This window comes from Homo sapiens, chromosome 7 (genome assembly GCF_000001405.40).
Source record: "Homo sapiens chromosome 7, GRCh38.p14 Primary Assembly".
Taxonomy (NCBI): domain Eukaryota; kingdom Metazoa; phylum Chordata; class Mammalia; order Primates; family Hominidae; genus Homo; species Homo sapiens.
The window spans coordinates 72,703,916-72,729,884 of NC_000007.14; the positions used below are offsets into that span (position 1 = coordinate 72,703,916).

Here is a 25,969-nt window from a genome sequence, read left to right on the forward strand (position 1 = left end):
GGAATGCTCTATTTCTGTGATATAGGTTAAATTTGTTAACTCCATTGTTCAAATCTTCAATACTCTACTAATTTTATCAGTTTGAGAGAAATCAATTAAAAATCTACTACTGTTCCTCCCGCTTTGTAGTCTGTCATTCTTGAGACTATATTATTCAGTGTTAAAAATTTTGAGTTGTTATATGATTTTATGTTTCTGGTGGGCTTAACGTTTTATTATTAAGAAATGTCCATCTTGTCTGGGCGCAGTAGCTCATTCCTGTAATCCCAGCACTCTGGGAGGCCAAGGCAGGCAAATCACTTGAAGTCAGGCATTTGAGACCAGCCTGGCTAACATGGTGAAACCCTGTCTCTACTATAAAGACAAAAATTAGCTGGGCATGGTGGTGCATGCCTGTAATCCCAGATACTCGGGAGGCTGAGGCACGAGAATTGCTTGAACCTGGGAGGTGGAGGTTGTAGTGAGCCCAGATCGCACCACTGCACTCCAGCATAGGAGACAGAATGAGATTCTATCTTAAAAAAAAAAAAAAAAAAAAAAAAGTCCATCTTGGCCAGGCATGGTGGCTCCCACCTGTAATCCCAGCACTTTGGGAGGCCAGGGTGGGAGGATCACTTGAGCACAGGAGTTCAAGACCAGCCTGGCCAATATAATGGGACCCTGTCTCTGAAGAAAAAAAAAAAAAAAGTCAATCTTATCTCAAGTAATGGGTTTTGCCTTAAAGTATATTTTGACCAACATTACTTAGCCTGCCTTGCCAAAGGTGAAACTTCCGTGTTTCATGTCTTATCTCACATACTCGCAATGCCACCATAAGGTAGTCATTATTATTATTATTATCATTTTACAAATGAGGAAAGTGGGCACTGAAAAGTTATCCTCCAACGTCAGAAAGACACCAGGAGATCCAGTCAAGATTGAAACCTAGATCTTTTCTAGCCCAGAGCCCAAGCTTTTTGCCACCTCTCTGCACTTTCTCTCTCTCTCTTTAGCCCATCCAGACATGCATGTTTCAGAGAAATATTCCATGAATTCAAAGACAGGAGAGAAAATTAGATTTTAAACTTCATATGTTTAGTGCAAACAAGATAGGCTGGGGGGCGGGGAACTTCTATTGAAAGAATCAGGCCGTATTTACTTCTATTGAAAGAAACTTCTATTGAAAGACTCAGGCAGTATTTACCTCTATTGAAAGAAACTTCTATTGAAAGAATCAGGCAGTATTCAATCTTCGTTTCATTGTAGCTGTTTTCTGGAACCATTCTGAGCTAACTCATACAAGAAAACTGCATGTTTATTAAACTTCACTCATCTCTTCAAACATATACTATGCACCTAATACATAAAGAGACATCCAGTTTATAGAGGTTCTCTAAAAGATGGGGTGAATGTCTCAGCAAAAACTAGAGAAAAAACACAAAGCAAACAAAACAGAAATACAGAAGCAGCAGAGGAAAGAGAATAAAGTTCCTACATAGTTTCAATGAAAAGGTGTTCGAAAGTAAATGTACACAGGGATGAAATTTGGGAGCAGGAGGTGAGTCTGAGAAGTTAATCATGTCATAGTTAAATGCTGAACACAGCTCTGTCTTCTTATGATAAACCTGCTAGCAGCTAAAAAGCTTTAGATTTACAGTACTCACCAAAAAAGAGCTATGAGATTCTAAATGTAAATTTTAAAATAATGTAAAATAGATGATTATGATACATAACAGTTAACGTGGACTAAATATGAAGATAAGAGTTTGTGAGTCTACAAATGACTACAAATTTGACTCTGAACTCTGGCACACTCATGAAGTGGGAGATGCTGTTACAGGATTCAAATGTCCACAAGATAAGAACAAACCAGTTCTCTGAGGTTCCTCAGAGGGAAGAAGCTATTCAGTGTTGGGAAACATCCTCCTCAACAACTTCCTTGCCTTACAACACGATGCCATACAGAGATCTGCTTTTACAAGGTGTCGTCAGCATTACAGCGTGGAGCTATGTATAAGAAATGACTCCATGGAATCTTCCATCGCAGCAATAACATCAGCTATGATGCACCTCTCTAGGACTGCAAAGCTGAATGCACAGATGGTACAGTGTTCTGGAACAAAGTTCTAAACTCACATGTCTACAGGGACCAGGAAATAATGTGAGTCAAGTAAGCCACTTTTAAGAGGGAAAAGAATTCTTTGTGTATCAAAATGCGGATTGCATATGAAACACACATGAATATTCTCTCCGGCCAGGCACAGTGGCTCACACCTGTAATCCCAGCACTTTGGGAGGCCGAGGTGGGGAGATCACCTGAGGTCAGGAGTTTGATACCAGACTGACCAACATGGAGAAACCCGTCTCTACTAAAAATACAAAATTAGCCGGGTGTGGTGGCAAATGCCTGTAATCCCAGCTACCTGGGAGGCTGAGGCAGGAGAATCACTTGAACCCGGGAAGTGGAGGTTGTGGTGAGCCGAGATCGCACCAGTGTACTCCAGCCTGGGCAACAAGAGCGAAACTCCTCCATCTCCAAAAAAAAAAAAAAAAAAAAAAAGAATATTCTCTCCTCTCTCAAAAGTTCTTTGTGTACCAAAATGGAGACTGCATATGAAACACACAAGAATATTCTCTCCTTACTCAAAGTGATATGCTTTCTTCCATTGTTCTGGGACTATGTGGCCTCTCAGTCTACCTTTATTTCACTTTTTTAGAAATGGTGACAGGAATTTCTCTTATAAGAAAATCAACCGTGCAATTCCTCTGACAAATGGCAGATGACACTCAGCCTCAGGGCTGAAGAAACAGCAAGACAAGAGGAGTGTGGGAAACTGAAAACCACAGGGCTTCCTGGAAAAAATAACTACTCCTTGGATCTTGACAACTTTTGCCAGATCATCTTTTCAAAGTCAAAAGTCCAGATTTTATGTAAAACCTCTTGGTTTTTCAATGTTGGCTCCAAAAAAAAGTGATAAACAGGCTGTAGGAAAAGCAAAACCTACTTCTTACCAACTGAGGGTTTGAGACCTCTGGGCTTAAGGAGAAAATGGATTGCATATCATCTGGGCTATTCACATAATTATAATCATCAACTGAGTTTCTGAAGAATACTGAGCCCCAGTAGGTTCAAGGTTATACTCCTTGACAAGTGTGGTCTGTTGTGCTGTATGTAGACTGCAAATGTGGCCATCGACTCCTCCTGTCCCAGTACCCAAGTGCCCCTGCCCTGTAGATCTGAGTGCCTTCTCATTGACTTGAAGCTCCGCTGTGTGACTTGCTTTGGTCCATGGGAAGTGAGCAAAGGTGATACAAGCAAAGGCTTGAAAGATGCTCGCGCATTGGGGCTTGCCCCCATCGCTGCTCTTTGAAACCCTGCCACCCTGTGATAAAGTGCAGCATAGCTGCTGGGGGATGAGAGGTCATGTGAATAGAGGCCCCTGGGCCCCAGCCCAGCCCATCATCAACCAGCAAAGTCACCCAAGACCAAAAGACTTCCAGGCTGATCTGAAGAATTATGAGCTAAATAAATGATTGTTAGTTAGTTTGAGATGGGTGGTTGCAGCAAAAGAGAACTGACACATATTAAAATATATCAGTACCTTCCTATCAAGAAATGGCTTTTTTCTTGTCTAATCACCACCAGGCCTATTAACATGAAGTGTGTTACACATTCTTGTCACTTTTATTAACCTCTGTTTTGACAAACAAAAGCATAAAGCTACTCAGAGAGCAAAAGCTTTCTCATTTGCCTAAGGTGTTTGCTTCTACACAGCATCCACAACAAATACCTGGCTCTCCCAAAAGTCCTGGTGGACCACTCACTGTGAAAACTCCTCTAAGGGGCAGAACTGTCAGTAAAGAGTCTGATATAATTTGGCTCTGTCCCCACCCAAATCTCATGTTGAATTCGTAATGCTCAATGTTGGAGGAGGGGCCTGGTGGGAGATGGCTGGGTGATGGGGACTTCCCCCTTGCTGTTCTCGTGATAATGAGTAAGTTCTCACGAGATGTGGTTGTTTAAAAGTGTGCAACATTTCCCTTCCCCCTTCATTCTCTTCCTCCTGCTGTGTGAAGATGTGCCTGCTTTCCCCTTTGCCTTCCGCCATGATTGTAAGTTTCCTGAGGCCTCCCCTGCCGTGCTTCCTCTACAACCTGCAGAACTCTGACCCAATTAAACCTCTTTTCTTCACAAATTACCCAGTCTCAGTTAGTTCCTTATGGCAATGCGAGAACAGACTAATACACAGTTACATGCTTTGGAGCTGGAGGGAAGACTGAAACCCTTTTAGGGAAAGGTTTAGTACCCTGAAAAAGCCACTAGCCTGAATATAATACAGACTATTGACAAAGTCTAGATTCCCCTGAAAAGATACCAGAGTACAGGTGGTATTGCAGTTACTTAGAAAAAAAAATTCTAATTAAAAAACTAAAAAATACATAAGCCACCCAACCACAAGAGAACATTATTACTTCCTAGTGTATGTGTAAGGTCAAAAGCCCCTCCCAGGTTTAAAATAAACCTATTGACTGTCAAGCTGCCCTTCTTGTTTCTCTCTTCTTTAATTCTTACAGTGTGCTCAAAGATGAAATGGCTGCAAGAGGCTCAGCAAATAGCTGAACTTGCTGACTTGCTGTATGAGCTGACTTGCTGTATAGAATTAGCATTATCAACATTAAAGGAAACTTCCAAAATACATGGCCTCTGTGTCCTATTAGTTAATCTACAGCCTTATTTTTCTGAAAGAAACTGAGATACCAGAGACAGCTGGTATTTTGATTCCTCCTATCCACAGAAATAAGTAAGATTATCTCCTCTTAGAAAACTTTTTCTTTCTGTTTTCTCTTGGGATATCGGGGTTGGCAGGGAGCATCCTTAGTTTAATTCGGAGAGGCCTCAAGTCCTGAAAGAATTAGTTTAAAAGTAAAGGCTTTCTGAAGACTATCTTGTTGCACTACTCTATAGCCCAGAGTGTTTGAAACTTGTGGTTTTATGACACGTCATAATATCTAGCATGGCAATCCTAATCATTTTGTTTTTGAAATTTTTTCTAGATAATTCACATCTTTCATTGGAAAAATGTGGGGCTAGGAGGGTTGTCTTATACTTAGGACTTCCTAACATTTGGACACACATTATTCCCAAGCCAGGAGGACTGCTCTGTTTCAGAAAAAGGTAAGATGAAAGACTATGTCCTCAACCCATGTCTACCAGACTTCCATTATCAGAAATTCTTCCCATATCCTAGCAGTAATCTGCAGATCTCAGACTTGCTTTTGTTCTTCTCTTTCTAGATAGGTATTTCAATGGATAACAAAGACGTGCCCACTTTTTGAGATCTAAATCTAGAATGGCTACTTTCTACATATTCTGTCTTGTTCCAGGGAAGGACATACCCTAAAAAATGCAACACAATTTGCCTGCTTACTCCCTGAAGCACAGCACCCTTCATATTAGGAGCTTCAAGGATGCTTTAAAAATCCAAAAGCGTGGCCGAGCGTGGTGGCTCACGCCTGTAATCCCAGCACTTTGGGAGGCCAAGGCGGGCGGATCACAAGGTCAGGAGATCGAGACCATCCTGCTAACACGGTGAAACCCCTGTCTCTACTAAAAATACAAAAAATTAGCTGGGGGTGGTGGTGGGTGCCTGTAGTCCCAGCTACTCGGGAGGCTGAGGCAGGAGAATCACTTGAACCCTGGAGGCGGAGCTTGTAGTGAGCCGAGATGGCGCCATTGCACTCTAGCCTGGGTGACAGAGCGAGACTCCGTCTCAAAAACAAAAAAAAAAATTCCAAAAGCGTAACCTCTATTTCCTAAGCATTCCTTCTTTCTTGATGATTCCTGATAGAGTAAACCCATCCACTTTTTAAACTCTCATTTTCAGGATCGGAGAAATTTGCTAATCTTCCTATTAGCCCAATCCTGCCACCTTACTTCTTCCTTTTTGTCTCCCTCCTCATTTCCCAGTCAGGTTTAGTAAATGAAGAATTATTTCTTTGGAATCATATGCCATCCTATCTCATTTGTTTGTTGAAGATGGCAATCAAGGCTAGTACGAACATCTTGTCGTATTCCACGATCCCTCTGCAGGCCTGAGAAGACTCACCAGCAAGAGAGGGAAAGAGAGACTCGATAACATCTAACAAATGTGCCCGGCATTTTGCTGGACGTTTTCGGGTAAATATCTTATATCATACTCTATAATTTTCCTCAATCCATGATGGCATTCCCAGACAATTCCATTCATGATCAAACAATGAATCATCTTCTCTGGTTATCATTTTGCAAAAAATTACTATATCCTACTACTAACAGATTCCATTCTTTTTGGGGATATATGCCTTTAATTTAAGACAGACTCCCTTTCTTTATGCATATACCCCAAACACCACTCTATCCCAATGTCCCGCACATCAGCCATGTGAAAATTCAGGAATTTAAAACCCAACTAAAGTTTAAAAACAGAAATGGCAACCCTATGTAAAATAGACACATTGACTTTTAAAAAACATTTTAACTTCACCTTTTTATACAACTTCAAAAAGTAATAGCTTAGTTATCTTTATGACAATACACTGATTTTCATATTATTGCCTGGTAGCTAATAATTTTAATCAACTCTTCGATTTCCTATGACATTAAATTTCAGCCTGGGCTCGGTGGCTCACGCCTGTAATCCCAGCACTTTGGGAGGCCGAGGCGGGTGTATCACTTGAGGTCAGGAGTTTGAAACCAGCCTAACCAACATGGTGAAACCCTGTCTTTTAGCTGGTATGGTGGCGTGCGCCTGTAGTCCCAGCTACTGGGGAGACTGAGGCAGGAGAATCGCTTGAACCTGGGAAGCAGAGGTTGCAGTGAGCCAAGATTGTGCCACTGCACTCCAGCCTGGGAGACAAAGCTAGACTTTGTCTCAAAAATAAATAAACAAATATTTCAAGCTGACTCTGTGTGTGCGAATGTATGTGATCAATCTTTCTAGAAATAACCGTGGTCTTAATTTTTTGCAAATACTTTCACCTTTTTTCACATCTTTGACAGAGCAGGAGCACCGTCACCTCGGACAAACCCCGCCACTTTTAAGTTCCACCTCCCTTTCTAGCTTCATGCATTTCAAGGAAATCACTTCCAACTACAAGCAGCCAGAAACAGCAGACAGTAAAACACAGATAAGACCCCTGGGGCACAGAGGGAGGTGAGGGAAAAGTCTCTTGGGTAACTGCCAAACTTCACCCTCATACACTGGGCCCCAGTAAAACAGTGGGCCTTAATAAGCACATTCCTTTCCATTCAGGTGCACTAAGATAGGGAGGCTAAAAGCAGACTCGGGGCTATGCCTGCCGCGCAGAAAGATATATGGGAACAGACACACACCTCTCCCTCCCAGATAAGCATAAGCACCACAAAGAGACACAGAAGCAGTCCAGGCTTCTGATAAACTCTCCCGCCCTGAATCCTTGAAAACTCTTAGTCTGTAACAGAGTGTGGCTTCTGACCTAACTCAGTCAGAAGTCCCTCCCAGGTTCAGAATAAACCTGTTAACTGTTAAGCAGCCCTTCGTGTTTCTCTCCTCTTTAATTCTTTTTTTTTTTTTTTTTTTTTTTTTTTGCTCTGTAGCCCAGGCTGGGGTGCAGTGGCGTGATCTTGGCTCACTCCAAGCTCCGCCTCCCAGGTTCTCACCATTCTCCTGCCTCAGCCTCCCGACTAGCTGGGACTACAGACAACTGCCACCATGCCTGGCTTATTATTATTATTATTATTTGTATTTGTATTTTTAGTAGAGACGGGGTTTCACCATGTTAGCCAGGATGGTCTCAATCTCCTGACCTGGTGATCCGCCCGTCTCAGCCTCCCAAAGTGCTGGGATTACAGGCGTGAGTCACTGCGCCCTGCCCCTTTAATTCTTACAATCTTATACTTTATTGGCCAGTGTTTACGAAACAAACTTGAATTCAAAAAGATCTTTTTTTTTTCCTATTTCCCCAATATTTCACTACCCATGTACTGAGCACCTTTAGGGCACCAGGCAAAAAATGCACTGAGATAAATAAGCAGAGGTCTTGACCTCAAGGAACTTGCAGTCTAATCGGGGAAAACACCAATACATAACAGATGAGTAAATGTAATAATAGTTTTGGTGTTACAGCATGTGCCTAGTCCCAGTATGACACAAAAACAGATCATTTCCCCAGAGGCCCCAGGAGATGCCTTTGATCATCCCTATAAGGAGAGCCCTCCCTTAAGTCATCCAACCCAACCTCATCATCCTACCACCTAAACCTGACCCTTCCTTACAAGAGCCCTCTGCTGTTATGGGGCCCCATAATCCTAGCAATCAACATGGCTGGAACCCTCGGTGTAATTACCTAGTCCTCTTCTCCGCTAGCCTCTCAGAGCCATACAAGCAGTTTGCCAATCATACCTAGCAATCCTCCAATAGCATCTTTTTTTTTGAGTCAGAGTTTCACTCTTGTTGCCCAGGCTGGAGTGCAATGGTGCGATCTCGGCTCACCGAAACCTCCGCCTCCCGGGTTCAAGCGATTCTCCTGCCTCAGCCTCCCGAGTAGCTGGGATTACAGGCATGCACCATCATGCCCAGCTAATTTTGTATTTTTAGTAGAGATGGGGTTTCCCCATGTTGGTCAGGCTGGTCTGGAACTCTCAACCTCAGGTGATCCACCGGCCTCAGTCTCCAAAAGTGCTGGGATGACAGGCATGAGCCACCGCGCCTGGCTTAACAGCATCTTTTTTAAGACTCCCTCATTCACATTGACTTGCTTCCACCCTTATAACTCTGACCTAAGCAAACATCATCATCTCCTATCTAGGCTCCTGCTGCTTCTTGTCTCCCCAATTGCATACCATGCCAGCAGACTGCTCTGCAGGAAGCAAGATCTTTCCAAGGGACCGCATTTGAAGTCCTAGACCATCTAATCCCAACCTTTCTAACTTGACTTCCACCTGCCACTCTCTTTCACACATTCTGTGGTCTAAATAAACTACACTTACATAATGGTTATCACAAATACCCCAACTCCACGTCTTTCTCAGGAAGTTCCTTATTAACAACAATATAGTTTTCAACCTTCTCAAGTACCAATCCCAGACATAAAGATAAAAATTAGACCAGGCGCAGTGGCTCACACCTGTAATGCCAGCACTTTCAGAGGCTGAGGCGGGAGGATCACTTGAGGTCAGGAGTTCAAGACCAGTTTGGCCAACATGGTGAAAGCCCATCTCTATTAAAAAAAAAAAAAAATTAGCTGGGCATGGTGCCAGGCACCTGTAGACCCAGCTACTCAGGAGGCTGAGACAGGAGAATCACTTGAACCTAGGAGGCGGAGGTAGCAGTGAGCCATGATCACGCCACTGCACTCAAGCCGGGGAGACAGAGTGAGACTCCAACTCAAAAAAAAAAAAAAAAAAAAAAAAATCAAATGACAGCTTCTCTGGTAAGTTTTACCCTGCCTCTCCCATTTGGAAAAAAAAAATTCATTCTCTTTTCAATTCCCCTAGCGACATATCTGTGCCTCTAGTCTTTTTACTAATGTTGTTGTGCCTAATAGAACAGATTTTGAAGAGCAGGACCATCTTCACCTCCCAAAGCCCAACATTTGTATGTAGTAAGTAATCAATAAATCCTATTTGATTGCATTAATGCCTATTAGTTTTACTTTGCAGTGAAACATAGATTCAAGCAGCATCTCTCCATAGGCTGGAGAACTCACCTGATTTCCGCAGGAAATTGTGCATTTGTGACCAGGAAGCTGGAGATTTTACACTGGTGGAGTAGCTTCAAAAACCTGTTGATCTCTGGGTACATTATTGGTTCTCCCACGAGGGACAATGCACAGTGCTTTACCGTCATTCCTTCTTCAAAGCGTTCTGCTTTGACGCCCGGTACTCCTGGAGAATACAGTGAGAAGGACCCAGCTACATAAGGCACAGATAGAGGATGTCACGTTTTTCTTAATGATGCTTTGATTTTATAGAGCAAATTCATTTTTGATACCAAAGAATACAAAACAAAGGCTAAAGGGCAGGGCAGGACTAGAATTATTAAATCAGAAAAATCAGTCAGTAACCTCATTCTTAGTTTTGGTACCAGTTAAACTACATCAATACAAGCAGGCAAAACTAGCTTTGTTAGCTAATTATTTGGAATGCAGAATAAGTCCCTTTGCATAATTTGCTTAGCTTTGCATTCTTTCATGTTGATCTAAGAAAATGAACTCAGTATATCTGCATAAGAACAAGCTTCTTCTAGACCAATCATTCCTCAAGTATCCTGAACTGGGAAAGTAAATGTAGTTGGTCCAAAGCTGTACAGGAGAGAAAAAGAAGAGACCTAATCGTTCTTATCTTTGGCTTCATACTGGAATACTTCATAATTCATACTTCATACTGGAATCACCTGAGGAGCTTCAAAAAATACTTCTACAGGCCAGGCGCAGTAGCTCACACCTGTATTCCCAGCACTTTGGGAGGCCAAGGCAGGAGGATTGCTTCAGCCAAGGAGTTCAAAACTAGCCTGGGCAATATAGTGAGACCTTGCCTCTACTAAAAATTAAAAAAAAAAAAATAGCTGGGCATGGTGGCACATGTCTGTGGTCCCAACTACTTGGGAAGCTGAGGTGGGAAGATCACTTGAGTCTGGGAGATTGAGGCTGCAGTGAACCACTATCATGCCACTGCACTCCAGCCTGGATGACAGAGCAAGGCCTGTCTCAAAAAACAAAAATAGGCTGGGCGCAGTGGCTCACACCTGTAATCCCAGCACTTTGGGAGGCCAAGGTGGGCAGATCACTTGAGGTCAGGAGTTCAACACCAGCCTGGCAACATGGTGAAACCCTGTCTCTACTAAAAATGCCAAAATTAGCTGGGCGTAGTGGCGGATGCCAGTAATCCCAGCTACTCGGGAGGCTGAGGCAGGAGAATCGCTTGAACCCAGGAGGCACAGATTGCAGTGAGAGGAGACGGTGTCACCGCACTCCAGCCTGGGCAACAGAGTGAGACTCCGTCTCCAAAAAAAACCAAAAATACTGCCACCTAGGTCCACCTCTAAAGAGTCTGTTTCATCAGAGTGGGTGCAAGGCTGGGCAATAAGTTTTGTTAAAGCTTCTCAGATGGTTGTTATGTATAGCCAAGGCTAAAAGCCACTGCATGAAACCAGAGGGGCCCAACCTGTCTGCACATTGGAATCACCTTGGAATCTTAAAATTCCCACAATCCAGGCCACAGCTCAGATCAACTAAACGCCAATCTCTGGCGGAGGGGTGCAGGCAATTCGCAGTTTCTGAAGCCCCCCAGGTGATTCCAATGTGTAGACAAGTTTAGTAGCCACTAGCACACACCACTCGTTCTGAATCCTAGCTGGACACTGGGATTACCCAAAAAACATTTAAGAATCCCAATGTCCAGGCCATATCCCAAACATATTAAATCACGGTCTCTGGGGAGGGGCCTCGTGCATCAGGATTTCTAAAGGGCTCTCCGTGTGATTCCAGCATGCAGCTTGGTTTGTCAGGTACTGCTCTTGACTCAATGTAGAAGGCATTAAGAGATATGCTGTCCTAAAAGTCCTTCAGTCTAACAGAGAATGTGAAAGACTCGGAAAGAGTGTAAATAGGCAAAATTATGTATCCTAAGAACACATGAACACATAGAGGGGAATGACACACACTGGGGCCTATCAGAGGGTGGAGGGTGGGAGAAGGGAGAGGATCAGGAAAAACAACTAATGGGTACTGGGCTTAATACCTGGGTGATGAAATAATCTGTACAACAAACCCCCATGACACAAGTTTACCTATGTAACAAACCTGCACTTGTACCCCTGAACTTAAGAGTTAAAAAAAAAAACAAAGAAAAAATATATATCACCTTGACTCCTGATAGTTCTAAATCAATGATTTCTAGGTTCCTTTTGAAGAACATATTCTCTCTGCAGGATAGGGGTTCCTCATGGAGCTTGGGCCTAGGGGAGAAGCGTGTTCATGTGTCTTCTCCGACTCCTATTGGACATCTTTGTTTTGTTTGTTTGTTTGTTTGTTTTTGAGATGGAGTTGCGCTCCATCACCCAGGCTGGATTGCAGTGGCACAATCTCAGCTCACTGCAAGCTCCACCTCCTCGGTTCAAGCCATTCTCCTGCCTCAGCCTCCCGAGTAGCTGGGACTACACCGGGCTGGTGCCCACCACCATGCCCGGCTAATTTTTTGTATTTTTAGTAGAGATGGGGTTTCACCATGTTGGCCAGGATGGTCTCGATCTCCTGACCTCGTGATCTGCCCGCCTCGGCCTCCCAAAGTGCTGGGATTACAGGCGTGAGCCACCATGCCCAGCCATTATTGGCCATCTTTGAAACATAACTTTCTTAGCTGTGAATGGTAAGTACCTTGAAGAATTTTTGTTGGGATTAAATGAGATAATGCATGTAAAGGCCTTAGCGGAGTGTCTGGCACACAAGAAACGTTCATTAACAATTTGCTATTACCACCTTTATCCTAGTTTATGAAACTGATTCGATCCCAGTCACTGTCACCTTAACAACAGTAACAAAGAACGTGGGCGAAATAAAGTTAAATTTCACTGCTCAGTTGTGCCTCAGTTTTCAGAAAGTGATTTTATTTTAGACACACTGTTCCGCCAGACCCTGATTGACTTCAGTAGGGATAGCACCATGTGTGAGGGGCTGGCAAAGAGATGCAGAGCCAGTGAACGAGACATAGGGGCTGTGGCTGTTGTTGTTGTTGTTGTTGTTTTTGAGACAGAGTCTCGCCCTGTTGCCCAGGCAGGAGTGCAATGGCATGATCTCAGCTCACTGCAACCTCCGCCTCCCGGGTTCAAGCAATTCTCCTGCCTCAGCCTCCTCAGTATCTGGGACTACAGGCACACACCACCACGTCTGGCTAATTTTTTTTTTTTTTTTGTATTTTTAGTAGAGATGGGGTTTCACTATGTTGGCCCGCCTCAGCCTCCCAAAGTGCTGGGATTACAGGCGTGAGCCACCATGCCCAGCCAAGACATAGGGTTCATTGAAGGGACTCACAAACTCACAAACAGGGCAGTCCAGTGGCAGTGGGCTGGGCAGGAGAACCACAGTTGCTTGTAAAAAGCATGCAGTTTGGCTGGGCACGGCAGCTCATGCCTGTAATCCCAGCACTTAGTGATGCCGAGATGGGTGCATCAGTTGAAGTCAGGAGTTCAAGACCAGCTCGGCCAACATGGCAAAACCTCATCTCTACTAAAAATACAAAAATTAGCCAGGCGTGGTGGTGCATGCTCGTAGGCCCAGCTACTCAGGAGGCTGAGGCAGAAGAATCACTTGAACCCTGGAGGTGGAGGTTGCAGTGAGCTGAGACTGCGCCACTGCCCTCTAGCCTGGGCAACAGGGCAAGACCCTGTCTGGAAAAAAAAAAAAAAAAATCATGCAGTTTATACAGCATTTTCACTTAGTACCTCCCCCACCAGCAATCTCCACCAGGCACCACTTTATTTAACCCAAAACAACAGGCCTTGATCCCCTGTACAACCTGCATTCCACAGGAAGCGCTAGGGATTCAGATGTTCCTCATAGATAGAGAATGATCTGTCCAAAATAAAGCCTTCACAGAAAAAAACAAAGAGAATGAATCCCCGGGTTGGCCACTCCTGGATCTCCTAGTTCAGAGCTCAGAACACACATTCTTCTTAGAACATACAGTCATTCTCCGGGTATGTTTAAGTTAAGGTATTGGTGTCAGCTGTGCTTGACACACACACACACACACACACACACACACACACTCTAATTCTCTCTCTCTCTTCCTCCTACACCTTAGAAATACGAAAGTGTAAGTTACGTGAAAAAAACACTCAGCATTACTAATAATCATTTGCAGAGAAATGCAAATTAAACTTACAATGGGATATCATCTCATACTAGTCAGAATGGCTATTATTAGAGCAAAACAACAGAATTGGCGTGGATTACACACTATTGGTGGGGATGTAAATTAGTTCAACCTCTATAGAGAGATTTCTCAAAGAACTAAAAATAGAACTACCATCCAACCTAGCAATCCCATTACTGGGTATCTAACCAAAGGAAAAGAAATCATTATATTAAAAAAAACCTGTACCCACTCGTATGTTCATCGCAGCACTATTCACAATAGCTAAAAGTCATGAAACCATGACCTAAGTGTCCATCAATGGTTGACTGGATAAAGAAAATATGGTACATATACACCATGGAATACTATGCAGCCATAAAAACGAACAAAATCATGTCCTTTACAGGAACATGGATGAAGCTGGAGGCCATCATCCTAGGTGAACTAAAAAACAGAACATCAAATATCACACGTTCTCACTTTTAAGTGGGAACTAACCAATGGGTACACACGGACCTAAAGATGGAAATAATAGAGACTAGAGACTCCAAAAGAGGATGGGACGGGGCGACAGTTGAAAAATTGCCTATCAGGTACAATGTTCACTATTTGAGTAATGGGTATGCAAGAAGCCTAATTCCTGCAGTACACAATACACCGATGTAAATAACATGCACATGTACCCCAATACAAAATAATAAATAAAATGAAACACAAAGTGCAAGTAAATCCCCAAGAGATCAAAGCAACAGAGTACAGACCAAAATGAGAACAATCTAAGCATGACAGGTGATGTCTTCTTTTATGACTATGTAACTGCAATTGTAAGAATGTATTTCGTGTCAGTATTTTTGGATGGATGAATAATTTTTTAGGTTATTGAAATCTAAGATCTTAACTCAAGTAAAACAAGGTTTTTAAATAAAATTTGATCCTTAAGCTCATTCTATGTTGCCAAGACAACTCAGCATTAAGCATAACATTTGCTTTTCAAAAAGCATATCATTAACTATAATCCCCACCATGAGCAGCTGAGTAGAAAGGCAGGTTGAACCTGAACTCCAAAACCAACCTAAAACTCAGAAAGTGGAAGGAGCATCGGCTAGGCCCTGGCCTCTGGGATTCAGATGCACCGGGTTCACACTCTAGCTCCACCGCGAAGGTAGTTTTATATCCTTGGTCAAGCCTCTCCCACCCTCTCCAAGCCCATTCCCTGATCTTTAAAATGGAGATTTTACACACACACATACAGCTATTATAACAATTAAATGAAATAAGCTACATGAAATACTTAATGGGGTGCCAGGCCCAGCACATACACATGCAAAACATGCTAGCTGCAAATATTTTTATTTTGTGAACTGAAAAATAAATTCAATTATTATTATTTTTTTTTTTTTAGACAAGGTCTGCCTCTGTCACCCAGGCTGGAGTGCAGTGATGTGATCAAGCTGACTGCAGCCTCAATCTCCTGGGCTCAGGTGACCCTCCCGCCTCTGCCTCCTCAGGTGCTAGGACCACAAGCATATGCCACCACACTTGGCTAATTTTTTTTAAATTTTTGGTAAAGACGAAGTTTTGGGCCGGGCGTGGTGGCTCACGCCTGTAATCTCAGCACTTTGGGAGGCTGAGGCGGGTGGATCATGAGGTTAGGGGTTCGAGACCAGCCTGACCAACATGGTGAAACCCCATCTCTACCAAAAATATAAAAACATTAGCCGGGCATGGTGGCAGGTGCCTGTAATCCTAGCTATTCGGGAGGCTGAGCCAGGAGAATTGCTTGAACCCAGGAGGCGGAGGTTGCAGTGAACCGAGATCTCACCACTGCACTCCAGCCTTGGCAGCAGGGTGAGATTCCGTCTCCAAAAAAAAAAAAAAAAAAAAAAGAAGGTGATAGGCACGTGGAGAAGAAAAGAAAGAGCAGGGCAATGAAGATGTGGGGTGCCAAGAGGAAAAAGAGGCAGGCTGACCTGTCAATCAGGCTGGTCAGGATAAGTCTTGCTGAAAAGGGGAGTGTAGCTGGAGGAGGTGAGGGAGTAGGCCAAGAGGGCAAAGACGGAAGAGCATTCCAGTCGGAGGAAAGACCCCAAGGTGGGAGCCTGCCTGATTATGTCTAGGGAACCTGAGTCACATGGGTAGCCAATGCAGGATTTTGAGAAGAGGGTGGCATAAACTAATTTTTGTTTTAAGTAGATCACATCGGGTTCTCCGTTGAGAACAGAGGGGCAAGGAGAGAGGATAATCTGCCGACAGACTATAATATAATACAAAAAGGAAATGGTGGCTTGGACCAAGGTGGTGACACTGGAGGTGGCACGATAGTGGAGGTGGCAAAGTCAATCAGCTGGCTCTACTTTCAAGGTATCATCAAGAGGGATTTTCAAATGGATTGGATGTAGGGTATGAGAGAGTGAGAGGGCTCAATGATTTCTACAAAGTGTTTGGCTCCAGCAACATGGCTGCCATCAACTCAGACAAAGCAAGCATTGGAGCTAACAGGACAGGGAGGAGGACCACGGACTGAGTCCTACAACACTCACAGTTCTGGGGAGAGGAAGAGGGATCAACAAAGGGTACTACCACAGAGCAGCCAGGGAGGACAGGAGGAAACCTAGAAGCAAAGACACCAAAGCCATCCTTTCCAGAAAGCTACAAATAAAAATATCATAATCATATTCCCCCATTTAGACAATCACAAAAACAAACAAAATACAAGACAAAAAAAATTCTTGATGATCAACTTTTTAAAGTAATGGATTCTTAGATTTTAAAGTTATCCTGATTCTTTCACAAGTAAGATATTGAGAAGCTTATGTAAAACCTTGGTTCTCTCCTTCCTAAGAGCATGTTTCTATTTCTTGCTCTCTGCCAGAGGCTGTTACACTGGTCCTCCCAAAAACAAAGCCTCAAGGACTCCACTTCATGTCTTCTTGCACTGGCCTCAAGGAAATATGACAGAAATTGAAACAGCCTCTAAATTTCTTTATTATTATTATTATACCTTAAGTTCTAGGGTACATGTGAGCAATGTGCAGGTTTGTTACATATGTAAACATGTGCCATGTTGGCGTGCTGCACCCGTTAACTCGTCATTTACATTAGGTGTATCTCCTAATGCTATCCCTCCCCCCTCCCCCCAACCCATGACAGGCCCCGATGTGTGATGTTCCCCTTCCTATGTCTAAGTGTTCTCATTGTTCAATTCCCACCTATGAGTGAGAACATGCGGTGTTTGGTTTTCTGTCCTTGCGATAGTTTGCTCAGAATGATGGTTTCCAGCTTCATCCATGTCCCTTAAAAAAACATGAATTCATCCTTTTTTGTGGCTGCATAGTATTCCATGGTGTATATGTGCCACATTTTCTTAATCCAGTCTATCATTGATGGACATTTGGGTTGGCCAAGTCTTTGCTATTGTGAATAGTGCTGCAACAAACATACGTGTACATGTGTCTTTATAACAGCATGATTTATAATCCTTTGGGTATACACCCAGTAATGGGATGGCTGGGTCAAATGGTATTTCTAGTTCTAGATCCTTGAGGAATCACTACACTGTCTTCCACAATGGTTGAACTAGTTTACAGTCCCATCAACGGTGTAAAAGTGTTCCTATTTCTCCACATCCTCTCCAGCACCTGTTGTTTCCTGACTTTTTAATGATCACCATTCCAACTGGTGTGAGATGGTATCTTATTGTGGTTTTGATTTGCATTTCTCTGGTAATAGCCTCTAAATTTCTAATGGAAAGGATTCCTGGAGAAGAAAGAAAGAGTCCACATGAGACACAGGACATTTCAACAGCAAATCGATAGTGCTGTTTCCCATTATCTCACACTCACACACACACACACATGCACACACACACACGCACACACACACAGGCACACATACACGCACATGCACACACACGATCTGTTCTCTTCATGGTGCCCAAATCTTAACCCTTTCACAACTAAACTCTGCTTTGTTATTCTAGTTCTTTGGGTTTTTTGGTTAAGCAAGTTTTCTGACATTTTTCTTATTCTGAACATCTTTCTGATCTTGGATAATCACAATTACAGTCAGCAGAGTAACTAACAAGCGGACTTCATCTCATTGAAAGATGACAAAGCCAGAACTTAAGATCCTAAAATTTTCATTCTAATGTCATAGCGATAAACCAAATAACACACAAATAAACATGATGTAATGCTCAGTATATTCCTATTTCTAAAGTTTGGGCCGATCAGAAATAAAACATTCTCTTCTTTCTTCTCATAACAATGCAGTTCCGGGCCAAAAATCTTCCCAACAACCTGTCCTGACTAAAAGTCATAAATAATACCTGTTTGATACAGATACTCCACTTGAGGTTTTTCATAAATTAGTTTCTGAAAACAATTAACAGGTGGTGTTCTCTTCCCCACCTTCACATTTTCTTTATGATGTGTATGTTAGCATACCTAGCTTGTGAAAACCATCTGTTGGAGATCTTTTATTTCTTGCAGTACTTTGCTTCTAGCCTAAAGTATAGATAAAAACACCTAGCAATAAATGAGGTCTTTTTCATCTTTGCAGCTTTAGTACTGAGGACGTTCCTGACAAAGACAGTGCAATCACTTGATGTTTGCTGAACGAGTGGAAAACTGAGCTAAAGAAACCTCAGCCCCATTTTCTGGGAACTATTTCTCCCTGCCATGGTAGTACTTAGAAGGGGGCAGGCAGCATTTTGAATAGACACTGAGTGGCACTGAAATTCTGACCCACTTTTAATCAATGCAAAGTTAATTTTGTATGTATATAAAAGGAACGCTAATAAAGGTCAGGAAAAGAAAGATATTTTTATAACTCAGTGAAATAACTGAAAAGACAATGATTGCCCTCAGAATTAAGAACACAAAAGACAAGCATTGAAAACATCAGGAATTATCTTCCAAAGCTGCTCAGGACTGGCCACTTAGCTCCAGTTGGGGAACTCAGACAATAAGCAACAATCCCCACAGCCAGTTCCACCTTTCACACAACTGAACCAGACCCAGGACAGACGGCAGGCGTTCTTTGTCATGGGGTGGGAACTCACACTAGAAAGCAAAGGACTCTCCAAGCCAGAGTGAGGTAAATAATTAATGAGCATTCCTGTCTCAAGGCCACACCTTCCACCTGCAGTGGAGTCTTCCACACCCAGCGCTTCGACCTTTACCAGCAGGCCTCCCCACCAGATGCCCTGCACTGGATACCTAAGCCTTGGGAATGGACACGGCCGCCACCTCGAAAAGGGCCCTCCCAAAAGGCAGAGGAGCCTGGGTCCCAAGGGGACAAGGAGCCTGGTTTGCCCCCACCCCACTGAGGGAGTTCCTCTTGCCCCCTACCCCCAGGGCTTGTATATAGATTATAAATATATAAGGGGGAAAGGGGTGGCGAGGGAGGGGTTGTGGGGCTGGGGCCTCACTTCCCCTCCTTCCCTTTCCCCTGGTCCCCTGTCCCTGGGGTTATTTGTTAAAAAAAGAGTAATAAAAGGATTTAAAAAATAATAATAATTAATGAGCTAAGAGTGGACCTCCAAAAAGAGGCCAAAGTGGAGATACCAGGAATATCACAAACTACGAAGGAAATGCCTTCAAGCCTTTGAAATTGACTATAATTGCCATTTATACAAGAAATCTGTTCGTAAGCATTTCTGTTTAAGCCTGAAATTTGTATTCCCATAGATACAATATTATTAAAATGAAAATTAAGGCCAGGTGCAGTGGTTCACACCTATAATCCCAACACTTTGGGAGACTGAGGCTGAAGGATTGCTTGAGCCCAGGAGTTCGAGATCAGACTGGGCAACGTAGTGAGACCCCCCATATCTACAAAAATGTTTTTTAAAATATTAGCTGAGTTTGGTAGCATGTGCCTGTAATCCCAGATATTTGAAAGGCTGAGACAGGAGGACTGCTTGAGCCCAGGAGGTTGAGGCTGCAGTGAGCTATGATCATGCCATTGCATTCCAGCCTGGGCAACAGAACAAGACCCTATCCCTTTATGGTCTTTTTCAGTTGAAATTACTTGCTGCCAAGAGAACAGAAAATATAATCAATATTCTGAAGTACTAAAATTCTATAATGCTGTCAAAGTTATCATTTTAAAAGAAATCACATAACATTTTTTTCTTTGAAGTGTTACAGACTACCACCAGTTTTCTAGAAGGGCTCTGGATTCTTACAAATTATGCACTTTACCCTTTACTAATTAGGGTTTTTTTTTCTTTTCTATTATCATAATTTTACAGCAAGATTTACTATGACTATTATAGCAATAAGATGGATTTTCAAAAATAATGGCTTGTTTAACCTAACTTAGAACACAGAAAAAAGCATTAAACAAATAGTCACCAGGGCTCCAAAATTACAAATTAAGGGATCTCTCATTCATTGTGAAAATGTAAAACAAATGAGAGCCAGGCACAGTGGCTCATGCCTGTAATCCCAGTACTTTGAGAGGCCCAGGCAGAAGGATCATTTGAGCCCAGGAGTTCAAGACCAGCCTGGGCAATATAGGGAGAACCCATCTCTATTAAAAATTTTTAAATTAGCTGAAGCGCGGTAGCATGCATCTGTAGTTCCGGCTACTTGGAAGGCTGAGGTGGGAGGATCACTTGAGCCCAGGAGGCAGAGGTTGCAGTGAGCCAAGATCGTGCCACTGCACTCCAGCCTGGGCAACAGAGTGAGACCCTGTCTCCAAGTAAATAAATAAAGTAAAATAAAATAAAAATAAAACAAATGAGGCTCTCTTATGCCTACGTGCTGACCCGTCTACACCCTCCACACCTTCAAACATGCACCTGTTTTCTACTAGCTTCAAGAAAAACTGCTTTGCTAACCTGAAGAGCATCAATGCACAAATATCAACCAGTTCCACTCTGAAAACCCTTCCAGCAAATTTGCTGCTGATTAAATACACTGATGTTTTCCTGACATGGTAACATGTTATCAAGTCAATCCATTCAGATATGAAAAAAAAATCCATTGTAGGAATTACCAGGGTAAAATAGATATTGTATAAATACCATTTTTAAGAATGAAATTGGTGGCAGTTGTTGAATTTCTGGGGATCATTCCTTCCGTCTTATGCATTCTAATGCCTACTCAGGATTCATGCATCCATAGACGTGCTCTATTCTTTCTCTCTGCTATCCTGCATCCTATCATCCCTCAAGAGAATCTAAATTTTAAAACTCTTTTGTTTTCCTCACATCGTAAGAACCCATAGACAAACCATTTGAGATGCCTGCTGATTAACGTTTAAGCCTAAGGTCACTACTGGACACCCCTTTCTGCACAGGACAAGACCCTCAACAGGCCCAGCAGACAATGAAAAACACGTGCTCACGGAACTCACCTAACACATTTTATTAACATCAACAAAGTCTACCTCATGGTTTATTCATTACATATTTCCATTTAAAGTGCATTTGCAAAAACGCTCCTGTCAGAAAAATTACTATCCAAACTCAGATCGTCATTCTGTAGGAAGGACATCCCAGCAGAAAGAAATGAAGGTGTCTATTCTTCAGGGCAGAGCTGATTCCTCCTCACACAAACTGCCCGAGACACAGTTCATTCAGGGAGACTCCAGGATGTCCAGGAAACACACATCCTCAGTCATCGTCCCATTAGCTCCTTAAGCACTAACTCAAAAATCAACTTCACATAAAAATAAAAGTACTGGCATTTCCTGCTTCTGATATTACTATCTGTGATGGTTAATTTTATGTGTCAACCTGTCTGGGTCACGGCGTCCAGATATTTGTTCAGCCATTATTCTGGATGTTTCTGTGGAGGTGTTTTGGATGAGATTAACATTTAAATTGCTGGGCTTTCAGTAAAGTAGATTGCCCGTCATAATGTGGATGGGCCTCATCCAATCATCTGAAGGCTTTAATATAAAAAGATTGACCTGTTCCAAGCAAGAAGGAATTCTGCCAGGAGAATGCCTTTGAACTTGAACTCCCACTCTTCCCTGAGTCTCCAACCTGCCAGTCAACTCAAGAGATGTTGAACTCACCAAGCCTCCACAAATACATTAGCCAACTCCTAAAAATGAACAAATGAATCTCAATCTCAGTCTCTCTGTCTCTCTCTCTCCCCTCACACACGCACACACATACACATACACGTACATACACACACACCCATTGGTTCTGTTTTTCTGGAGAAGCCTAACACACTCTCCAAAGGAAAATACGACTTTGCCTTGAAATTAAAAAGACACATAGCTTACTTGAAGATCAACAATCAATTATTAACTAAACCAACAATGAGTCTAGGAAAAGCCAGTCAAATTCCAGATGTGGAGCTTACTAGTTCTTTACCAACAGTTTCATTTAATTTTCCAAAACACTGGTAAGAGACACTGCTTTATCCAAGTATAAGAATGTAATTTGTACCCCTACCTCCCACCATCGAAAAATGCTTGAAACTAAAAATCAAGATGAGAAATTAAAATAATCATTAGCATCTTTGTAAATGTACAAAAAAAAGTCAGCCTACCTACAGATATACACAAATATGTACAGGTCAACTTTCCCTAGAAAATTCATAAAGAATAAAAGTATAATTATTGACTAATTTTTTTTGTTTTTTTTGAGATGGAGTCTCACTTTGTCACCCAGGCTGGAGTCCAGTGGCATGTGAACTCAGCTCACTGCAACCTCTGCCTCCCGGGTTCAAGCGATTCTCCTGCCTCAGCCCCCCGAGTAGCTGGGATTAAAAGGCCCACACCACCATGCCTGGCTAATTTTTGTATTTTTAGTAGAGATGGGGTTTCACCATGTTGGCCAGGCTGGTCTCAAACTCCTGACCTCAGGTGACCCGCCTACCTCAGCCTCTCAAAGTCCTGGGATTACAAGCGTGAGGCACCGTGCCGAGCCTACTGAATAATTATCTTTTATAAATTACTACTGATCTTGAACCATTATTTGCATGACTTTTCTCCATTTCTCATAAGAATGAGAAATAAGTATGAGCCCATTTTCATACTGCTATAAAGAACTGCCGGAGACGGGGTAATTTATAAAGGAAAAGAGGTTTGATTGACTCGCAGTTCAGCATGGCTGGGGAGGCCACAGGAAATTTACTATCACAGCGGAAGGCAAAGGGGAAGCAAGGCACCTCCTTCACAAGGCAGCAGGAAGGAGAAGTGCAGAGCAAAGGGGGAAGAGCCCCTCATAAAACCATCAGATCTCGTGAGAACTCACTCACTATCACGAGAACACCATGGGGGAAATGGCCCCCACGTTTCAATTACCTCCACCGGTCTCTCTCGACGCATAGGGATTATGGGGATTACGGAGATTACAATTCAAGATGAGATTTGGGTGAGGGGGACAAAGCCTAACCATATCAAGTGGTAAGGAGTATTATAATATTACGAATGAGTGGCCAGAACAGAACAAATTTCCTTACGTGAAAGAATCACCTGATCTTCAGAATGCTAATTACTGAGGTTTCTAAAGACTCCCATATGTGCTATTAATACCTTAAGAGTGTCTATATTAAAACAGTCTTGGCTGGGACTATTTTTTAATGGTTGCATATGACGGAAAAGAAGAATACAGGAGAGAAGGAGTCACCAGTGGTAGGTAGAGACCAGAGCATACAGATTCAACAGGGAACCTAACAAATTCCAATTCATCACCTACAGCTGTTGCTTTATGAAGCCATCACATGTACAGTAGTGGTTCTCAAAGCGTGGTCCCCAGTTGAATAACATCAACACCAACCAGAAACCTGTTAGAAATGCACATTCTCAGGTGGCTCACACCTGTAATCCCAGCACTTTGGGAGGCCAAAGCAGGCGGATGGCTTGAGTCTAAGAGTTTGAGACCAGCCTGGGCAACATGGCTAGACCCCATCTTCACAAAAAATTAGCCAGGCGTGGTGGCCAGCGCCTGTAGCCCCAGCTACTCAGGAGGTAAGGCTGAGGTGGGAGGATCATCTGAGCCTGGGAAGTGAAGGTTGCAGTGAGCCAAGATAGCACCACATACTCCAGCCTGGGTGACAGAGTGAGATCCGGTCCAAAAAAAAAAAAAAAAAAAAAAGAAGAAAGACAAAAAAGCATACTCTTGCGCTTACTGACCCAATCTCTGGGAAAGGAAACCAACAATCTGTGTTTTAACAAGCTCTCCAGATGATTCCGATGCATGATAAAGTTTGAGAACCCGTAACCTCCAGTGAAGTCAATATTTGTTAATATGAGACAGAATTAAATCAGGAAATTCAAAAAAATGGAGTGGCTGAATTTTTACCACATTACTGTGCATTAGATGGAAGAAACTGTTATTTATATTATCCCTCCTTTTTTTTAAATAAGGAATTCATTCAAAACCGTTTTTCCATCACTAACTAACATTATTTAAGACTTTCCACTAACCTAAAATTTCCAATCCATTCAAAAGGCTGCTCAGCTCAACGAGACAGAACAATAGCAAAGGTTTCTAGGAAGATTGATGGTACATTCCCAGGTAAATCTTTCAAGTTGAATGCAGCATATTATAAGTTGCTAAACTTTTTATTTATTTATTTATTTCTGAGATGGAGTTTCGCTCTTTTTGCCCAGGTTGGAGTGGAGTGGAGAGATCTCGGCTCACTGCAACCTCTGCCTCCCAGGTTCAAGCAATTCTCCTGCCTCAGCCTCCCAAGTAGCTGGGATTACAGGCAACCACCATCATGCCCAGTTAATTTTTGCATATTTAGTAGAGACGGGGTTTCACCATGTTAGCCAGGCTCATCTCGAACTCCTGACCTCAGGTGATCCGCCCGCCTCGGCCTCCCAAAGTGCTGGGATTAGACAGGCGTGAGCCATCACACCTGGCCAAGTTGCTACATTTTAAATTTTTAGTTCTTCCATCATATGGGAAGTAAAAGCTAAAAAGGCAAAATATATATAATATTCCTACGAAGTTTTCACTTCCTTAGAGGAAAATTTGCCAGTGGGGACAAAATCCTACCAAAGAGGCAATTCTTCTGCCAATCTGATTCAGACTATTAACAAGTATTAGCATTCCTCTGTAGAGGGAAGATAAATACCTTTAAACTGCTTAATCATGTTCTGATGGTTTTCAATGGCTTCCTTCAAGATCATTTCAGGCTGGTCCATCTTCCACAACCATTCAGTGCCCACAGGGTTGTTGTGGTGCCTAGGAACAAGACGCAAAGTTCTAAAAGACCCTTCTGTAATAAGATCTGGGCTAGTCATTTATGATGAAGTCGTCCATTTTTAAAAAATCACAAAATCAGGACTGGTTTCCTCCTCAGAGTTCAACCACGTATAGTGGTATTTTCCAACTTATTTTAAATCGTGACACCCAACAGAGAGGGGTGAATAGAGAAATCATTCAACTCTTCCCAGAGATGTTGGGCACCTAATTCACTCAATTCCAGTTACAGGTTGACAGAACACTCTCTGCTGCTTTAACCATGTTAACTATGAATGTACACAAACAAGGCAAACTGTCACCATCATGTTACTGTCATCTACGTCGACACTTCATAAAGTGAGTGAGGACAGCTGGAACACTTGCTTGGAAATCACACTGACAGGGCCTGAGAATGAGTTTCTCCTGATGCAGGCCTGGGGAAAGGACAAGAACCTCCACCTGGGACCCAAGCAGCTACAACACAATGTCATTTTGAGACCAAAACCACTGCTAGAGTGTATCCTGCCCTGGGAGCCAAAGCCCCTGTATCTCCATATTCCTGAGGTTCCACTGCCATCACTCCATGGCCATATAAAAGATTACAATGCCATAACCCAAGCTATAACTAGCAGTACAACCATATCCAAGCACCTGAGCCCATGCAGAACCTTGTAGTCCAAAAAAAACAGGCAGCACAGTACAGCAAGGAGACCACCCCCAAGACAGACACAATGCCAGAGCCCAAGGACCAGCTCCCCAGTGTCCACCACTGCCAACCATCTCACCCTCCCGACAGGCAGAACTACCGTGTGCCCTACAGGCCCCTCAAGGCCCAAGGACCATTCTGCCCAGAAACCAGCACCACTGAAGACACTACCCCCATAAGCAGCAGAGCTACCAGAAATAGCACAAGCTCCCCTAGGGTCTAAGAACCAGCAAGCCCAGCAACACCG

The 25,969-nt window shown here is 42.9% G+C and overlaps 1 protein-coding gene across 4 annotated transcripts in view; it reads right to left on the reverse strand.

Annotated features, from left to right (window-relative positions):
• The window catches only part of TYW1B (tRNA-yW synthesizing protein 1 homolog B), a 253,688-nt gene that overhangs the window by 129,403 nt on the left and 98,316 nt on the right, over positions 1 to 25,969 (reverse strand). For 2 of the 4 annotated variants that reach the window (NM_001145440.3, NM_001412182.1), the window contains 2 exons: positions 24,907 to 25,016; positions 9,706 to 9,883 (listed from right to left, as the gene is read on the reverse strand). In NM_001145440.3, coding sequence (NP_001138912.2) covers positions 9,706 to 9,883; positions 24,907 to 25,016 — 288 coding nt within the window. The remainder of the gene's footprint in view (positions 1 to 9,705; positions 9,884 to 24,906; positions 25,017 to 25,969) is intronic. The other 2 variants (NM_001412180.1, NM_001412179.1) reach the window with 1 other exon arrangement.